General features: G+C 46.5%; 1 long non-coding RNA gene across 1 annotated transcript, besides 1 other annotated feature; it reads right to left on the reverse strand.

The window, feature by feature from the left end:
* Positions 1-3,603: 3,603 nt before the first annotated feature.
* Positions 3,604-7,454, reverse strand: LOC124903956 (uncharacterized). Its single transcript, XR_007065676.1, has 2 exons — positions 7,358-7,454; positions 3,604-4,168 (listed from the first exon to the last, which is right to left on the reverse strand). It is a non-coding gene; the product is annotated as an uncharacterized LOC124903956 (long non-coding RNA).
* Positions 4,516-4,615: an enhancer, noted in NCBI's record as "active region_11891". NCBI's record gives its function as "activates an Ori minimal core promoter by ATAC-STARR-seq in GM12878 lymphoblastoid cells {active_cell/tissue: GM12878}" and the evidence as "EXISTENCE:reporter gene assay evidence [ECO:0000049][PMID:35858748]".
* Positions 7,455-7,699: the final 245 nt, after the last annotated feature.

A 7,699-nucleotide genomic window follows, 5' to 3' on the forward strand; every position in this document is an offset into this window, starting at 1 on the left:
CCTCATGGCAATGAAAAATAGTCTGGGTTGATTTAATTAACTCAGGGAGGCGTCATATCCACAGTTTCTTATTGACAAAAACTTGTTTCTTCTCTTCTTGAAGGAAATGTGCTTAGCAAATGTCTGTGATATGTTTAAACACACACACACACACAACCAATTTAGCTGCCAAGTTTTTTTTTCTTTTCTTTTCTTTTCTTTGAGACAGAGTCTCGCTCTGTTGCCTAGGCTGGAGTGCAGTGGTGCGATCTCGGCTCACTGCAATCTCCACCTCCGAGGTTCAAGTGACTCTTCTGCCTCAGCCTCCCGAGTAGCTGGGATTACAGGCACTCACCACCACGCCCGGCTAATTTTTGTATTTTTAGTAGAGACAGAGTTTCACCATGTTGGCCAGGCTGGTCTCAAAGTCCTGACCTCAGGTGATCTGCCCACCCCAGCTTACCAAAATGCTGGGATTACAGGCATGAGCCACTGCACCCAGACAGCTGCCAAGTTTTAAGAGCACTTTTTATCATGGGGAAGGCACAGCAAAACTACAAAAAGCAAACAACAACAACAAAATCTTGAGTGGGGATGTTTTAAACCATTTAAAGTGTCTCTTTTTAAAATTTTTTATTTTTTAATTAATTAATTAATTTTGAGGCTGTGTATGAGACTGGCTAATTTTTGTATTTTTAGTAGAGGTGGGGTTTTGCCATGTTGCCCAGGCTGGTCTCAAACTCCTGGGCTCAAGGGATCCACCCGCCTCAGCCTCCCAAAGTGCTGGGATTACAGGCATGAGCCACTGTGCCTGGCCCAGACACACTTTTTCTCACAAAAAAAGTGCTGACTTATGCATTTATCATGGAGAAATACTCAATTCTATATCTCAAAGACCCAATAAAATAATCTAAAATGGACAAGACTCTATTCACAAGTGCCTTAAAGAGACACTTTAGACTAGGCACAATGGCTCACATCTGTAATCCCAGCACTTTGGAAAGCTGAGGTGGGTGGATCGCTTGAGCCCAGGAGTTTGAGACCAACCTGGGCAACATGGTGAAACCCATCTCTACAAAAAATACAAAAAAATAGCCAGGTGTGGCGGTGCCTGTGGTCCCAGCTACTTGGGAGGCTGAGGTGGGAGGACTGCTTGAGTCTGGGAGGTTGAGGCCACAGTGAGCCAAGATCACTCCACTGCACTCCAGCCTGGGCAACAGAGTAAAACCCTGTCTGAAATTAAAAAAAAAAAAATCTGCCATAGGCCTGGTGCGGTGGCTCACACACTTATAATCCCAGTGCTTTGGGAGGCTGAGGCAGGAGGCAGCAGGAGGATCACTTGAGATCAGGAGTTCAAGATCAGCTTGAGCAACATAGCAATATTCTGTCTCTACAAGAAATTAAAAGAAAAAAATTAGCTAGACATGGTGGCATGTGCCTATATATAGTTCCAGCTACCCAGGAGGCTGAGGTGGGAGGATCACTTCGAGGCTGGAGTAAGCTGTTATTGCACCACTGCACTCCAGCTTGGGCAATAGAATGAGACCCAGTATCCAAAAAAAGAAAAAAAATCTGGTGTATATTTAATTCCATGAAGAAATCAAACATTATCCCTCCCTTTGGCCTGTAGCACCAGGTACTTTGCTTAGGATTTTCACACACACAATCTCATGTATTCTCAAACAACTTTCTGGAAAAGTATCATTTATGATTCCTGTTTTATTGGTGAGGACACTGAAGCTCAGAGAGATTAAGTCATTTACCTAAGCTCACATAGATAGTAAGCAGCCACTAACTGCATGGCTGCAAAGCTTATGTTCTTTCAAATATAATACTCTACTCCTTTCGTTAACACTATGCATTTGGAGATATTAAAGTGTAGAATAATTTGACTACATAGTTCAGTGGTCTTTCAGCTTTCTCTTCTAGATACAGCCTCAATAGGGAGACCCAAAACTCCCAGCTGAAGAAGCATCAGAGACCTCTGGGTGCCTCCCTTGGGTTCCATGTGTCTCTGCAGGAACACTGGTAGAGTTAGTTCTTGAAAGGAACAGTCCTCTTAACCCTGGGGAGTCTTATTTCCTATGGCCAGTTGAAGTTTCCTCTAGGAAGGCAAGCTCATTTTAACAAACTACAATCAGGAATAAATATTTACAACTAAAAAAAAGGGTTTTGTGAAAATGAATTCTCCGACTCTCTTCTTTGTTACTCTACAGACATCATCAGTCACTGAAGATAATGACGGAGTTATGGGATTAGGGGATATGGGATACGGGATATAAAGGTAACTATGACCTTGCTCAAATAATTCTAATTTTGACTCTTGGTTACCACTTTGTCCTTGTCAGCTGTTCTTATTTCTAAAAATGATGGTACTCTAAAGATAATCCAAAGAGTATTTATTCATTCCAATGAAGTTAATCAACATTTGCATATGTGGTTTACTGGGCAATAAATCATTTCTAGGTACTGGTCCTGAATATGCCACTTCATAAGTAACTGTGTACTCTTGGGTAGGTCACATAAGCCCATTGAATCTTATTTTCTTCATCTCTGAAATGAGAGATTTAGATGAGGCATTCTGTAAACTTTAAGATTCTTATTTTGCTGGTTACTTTCAAGGACCTGGGAGCTATGCAATCCCAAATGTGTCCAGCAGAGGTCAGGAGATGTCACTAAAAGCTCTGAGGGCTACTTTAATCCCAGTTAGCTTTGTAAATAGTTTTATGATAGTCCCTACTCTCTGTGTTACTTACCTGATTTTTTTAAGGTTGGGCAGGCATTTTTCTTGAAAAATTAAAGTAGGGATGCATTGTGTGCTTTAGGCCTCTTTCTCAAATGTAAACCATTTCTCCCCTGGCCAATGCCTAGTGAGCAAAGGTAAATTGCCCAACAGAAGGTGATACGTGGGAACAGTTTAACCTTTGGTAAATGTAAGCAAGTATGGATGCTATGGCAAATTCCATTTCGTCAAAACTTTCTCTTTATGACAAAGGATTTCTAAGCTCTAGCTAGTGATCTAATATTTTGAAAAAATTCATGATCACACCACTGCACCAGCCTGCGTGACAGAGTGAGACTCTGTCTCAAAAAAAAGAAAAGAAACATATTTATCCAGCAAAATTATCGTCATAATATGGGTTTCAATCAATATTTCTCTTTTTCTCTCTCTTCTGGGTTTCATCAGAAAAATTATCTTGGAAATATACCATTGCAGAGATAGAGACTCTTAATAAATATTTAAATATTATAAGCATTGGTTTATTTAGGCAGAAACAGGAGGACTGATTTAAATGTGGGTTGAATCCAAAGAATTGGGAATCACAGGAAGACCCTGCAGCAAGGTCAAGCCCGTCACAAAGAGCTGTTTAAAGAAAATGTAGTAGAGACAGTCTGGAAGTTAAAGTTGACTCTGGGTAAGACCCCCATTTAAACCTTGGTCAAGTTATTTGGTAAAGTTTCTTAACTTTCCTGGAGATAAACTCCCCCATTTCCTTATCTATATAGTGAAGACAGTGGTAAAACCTCATAAGATTTGTGTGGGGATTAAATGAGCTAATACACATATATAAAGAGTTTAGGAAAACACTCGCCACACATTAAATGAGCAATAAGTGAGAGCTATTGCTGTCATACATTTTATTAGAGAGGAGTGTTTTTAGAAAAAGCAAATGGGGAACAAAATCACTATGTCTTTTTCTAAATCTCTTTCATGACTATCTCAGACTAGGTTTGATGATTCTGTAGTGTGTTTCAGCCACTGGAGCTGAGAGACCCCGGCCCGGCCACCTGGCCATGCAGACTTGACTGGCACCATCATTCCCAGCTCACAGCAGCAGCAGAGGCAGCTGGATGCCCATTCCTGCCAGCCAATCCTTATCCGACTGCCGGCCCGTCAGCCAGAGTCAGAGGCTGCCTTCCCCATGGAGCAGGGACTGTCGGTGGCCTTCCCCCTCTCTCAGCCCCACGTGGAGCCTAGGCTGGTGCTGAGTTGCCTGCTCCCTGCTTGGAGGTCAACTTCCATCCAGTGCTTCATCTTTGGCCTCTGAGGCTTTTCTGTTTTTCAGCACTCAGGCCAGGTGAGGGTGGCTCATGCCTGTAATTTCAGCACTTTGGGAGGCTGAGGCTGGTGGATCACTTGAGCCCAGGAGTTCAAGACCAGCCTGGGAAACATGGCAAAACCCCGTCTCTACAAACAATAAAAAAATTAGCTCAGTGTGGTGGCACACACCTGTAGTCCCAGCTACTTGGGAGGCTGAGATGGGAGGATTTTGGGAGCCCAGGGAGGTCGAGGTTGCAGTGAGCTGAGATCGCACCACTGCACTCCAGCCTGAGCAATAGAGTGAAACTGCCTTAAAAAAGAAAGAAAGAAAGAAAGAAAGAAAGAAAGAAAGAAAGAAAGAAAGAAAAGAAAAGAAAAAAAGAAAATTAGCACGTGGTTTACTCATTGTCATTACTTCTTCCCCTGCTCTGGCAGGCGCCTCTAGGACAGGTCTGCACTGATCTCTCCCACCATCGCTAACCCACGGTAGGATGGACTGGGCTCTGAGAAAGCTGGGAACAGTGGGCCAAGCAGGGCAGGGAGGGCTATGTGCTTCCTGCAGGAGAGAGAGCTGGGTCGTGCTGCGCTCTGATGATGAGGGGTGTGAGCTGGGTGGCAGGAGGCATGGGCCAGGTGGGATGGCTCCCTCGAAGGTTGGAGAAGGGTTGGCAGGGGGGCAAATGAACAGAACATTCCAGATCAGCTGTGGCACCCATCACCCACCATGGGCTGTCCAGCAGGGTGGGGGCCAGAGCAGGATTGCTACAGCCTGCTCACATCCTTGAGACCTTTCTGAAGACCCAGGCCAGTCGTCGAGGGACCTCCCAATCACTCACGTTCAAAACCAAAGATTAAAAGGGAGATGGCTGTCTCCTTACACCGACCATAGCTCCAAACTTTCTGAAAAAGGCTTAAACTCTTAAGGTTTGTGCTTACTCAAATGGAAAGAAAATGGGAGGAAGTGTCAATTCAAAGAGAAACTTTCTGCTTCCTTCTAAAGATGACTGCAGCCTAATTCTGGCTCTGACACTGTCTTGCTCAGATCCAGCCAAGCTCCTGGCTCCTCCAGGCCTTGCTTTTGGTGCCTGTAAGGCAGCTCTGGAGTAATGGGGGCAAGCCCCACCTGTGAGGAGTGGGGGAAGGCGTGAGTGTGATTTGTGATTGCTGATACTTGATGCCCACATACCTCACTCTCAACATGTGTTACTATCAGTGTAATTTAAGATATTTTTATAAAACCAAAAAAAAAAATCTAGTGTCTTACCTTGTTGGAAATCCCCTTTGGGAAAGTGCTAATACTAACTATTGAACATGTATCCATTGCATTTATAATTATCCTGATAATAACTGCCATTTATTTAGAAAAAGTATATAGAAAGCCATGGTGCAGTAACACCATTCTTCCCATTTTACAGACAGGGACACTGAGCCTTAGGGAGATGAAGCAATTCTGCCTAAATGCAGGCCGCTAGGCATGCATGAGCTCAGAGCTGGCACTCTTAAACCCTTCTGCGTGTCTCCATGCACAGTGAGTTCCTGCTCGGCCCACCCTCAGGGCTCTGCGGACAGGCCTGCCTCAGGACCTTTGCAGGTGCTGCTTTCTCCCTCTGGGATTCCTCTCCCCTCCCTCCCGCCCCCTGCCCTTCCTTCAGACTTCTGCCCCATGCCCGCTATTACTGAGCCTCTCCCTCCCATATGAACGGGTCCACCTCTTCGCCCTTTCCCTTTCTTGTTTGTCTTCCTCCCTTCCTCGTTTGATCATTCTCTGTCTGCTTCCCCCACTAGAATAAAGACCTGTGGGGTCTTTGTTTTGTGCATGGCTGTATCTTTAGGATCTAGGAGAAGGTGCTCCCTCACTATTAATTCAACAAACCAGTGAATGAATGAGTGGCCGCCAGGATTAGCGGGGCTGGTGGGCAGAGCAGAAGCAGTCTGGATGCCGAGATTTGAGGGAAAGCTCCCTCCAAGCCCTCAGGACTCACTGTAGGGTTAACTCACTGTAGGGTTAACAGGGCCCAGCTCTGGCAGAGCACAGTTCAACAGCCAGGAATGAGCTCAGCTCCCGTCCCCACTCCCCCCTTCATCAGAAGACTGAGCAGCTTTTTCCCTCTGCCAGGCTTCCAGCAATACCTCCCCTTGGGGTCTTTTCTGCTTATTCTCCCTTGGGAGGTACTGTGGGAGTCCAGGGATTGGGGTGGGGTGCAAGCGTGAGGGTCTCTGGGGAAGGGAGACTGTAAACACTTCCATTTTAGCACTGAAATCCCTGAAGTCTCTTCCCTCTGGCTGGTTGGTTCAGCCAGAATAAACTTTCTTTTGGGGTGAGCAGCTTGGCTGGCTTTTCAAGACTCAGTTCAGACATCTTTGCCGCCCGTCTTCCAGGTTAGTGCCCTCTTTGCTGTCCTCAGGATGGTCTCAGCCCTCTCTCTGCTTCTCACAGCAGCGTTGCCTCTGTCTGCTTCTCAGAGAACACTCACGGTCTGGGGTCGTGCCTTTCTTCCTCTGGGCCCCAGGCCCAGAATGGCAGGGGCTCAAATCAATGTTTGTTGAGTAAATGAAGTGGGATGGGGAGGCGACCGATGTTACCATCTGAGAGCCAGCACTGTGCATCATCAATGTTTGCATGCCTTCTCCAGCTACAAGTGCCAGGGTCAGCCGCGAATCCAGAGGGGACCACATTTTATGTAGGCCATAGGACTGACTCAAGACAAATAATGCTTTGCCCTGCAAAATCAGTGCTGTTGGGCCAGGAGTGGTGGCTCACACCTGTAATCCCAACACTTTTGGAGGACGAGATGGGTGGAACACCTGAGGTCAGGAGTCAGAGACCAGCCTGGCCAACATGGTGAAGCTCCATCTCTAACTATAAATACAAAAAAAAATTAGCTGGGCGTGGTGGTGTGTGCCTGTAATCCCAGCTACTAAGGGGGGCTGAGGCAGGAGAATTGCTTGAACCTGGGAGGCAGAGGTTGCAGTGAGCCAAGATCGCACCACTGCACTCCAGCCTGGGCAACGAGACCCCGTCTCAGAAAAAAAGGAAAAAAAAGAAAAGAAAAACCAGTGTTGCTGGTAGCAGGCTGCCCCACGGTTAGTCCCTATCCAGCTCAGAGAATGAAGACACCAGCATCAGGGGCATCTCCCTCACTCCTCCCTTCCCTCAAGCTCCAACAGCTTCTTGCATGCATCCTCCCACTGACTGCAGAGTGGAGGGTGGGGAGTGGGGGCAGTTCTCATTTACAGGGGGAAAGAAATCCTGGGTGGGGGTGAGAAAGGGGAAGAGCAGTAGGGGAAGCCCTGAGGGTTGGGTGAGCACCCCTGGAAGCCCAGAAACCTCATTACCTTCCATTCTGACTCATCTGTCTTCTAATTCTTTCTAGCTTCTTGGCAAGGACAGAGGACCCTGCTGAGAGGGCTTCAGGAATGGCCAAAGACTGAGACGGTGCAGCCTCAGCCACGCCCAGAAAGAACTTGGATAAGTCTGTCTTGCTGTTTTTCCAGTTTTTGTTTGCACCTCACAGGAAGAACTGGTCCGCCTTCATTCCTAGCCCCACCAAACTGACAGGTTAGACTGACTCAGGGACCATCCCCTTTGTCAGGCAGTTCCCTCACTTGCTGGACTGACCGTGGTTCTGCAGTGTGGTTGGGGCCCCTGCATAACACTTTAGCCAACAACTACATTAG

This window comes from Homo sapiens, chromosome 17 (assembly GCF_000001405.40).
Source record: "Homo sapiens chromosome 17, GRCh38.p14 Primary Assembly".
Lineage (NCBI taxonomy): Eukaryota > Metazoa > Chordata > Mammalia > Primates > Hominidae > Homo > Homo sapiens.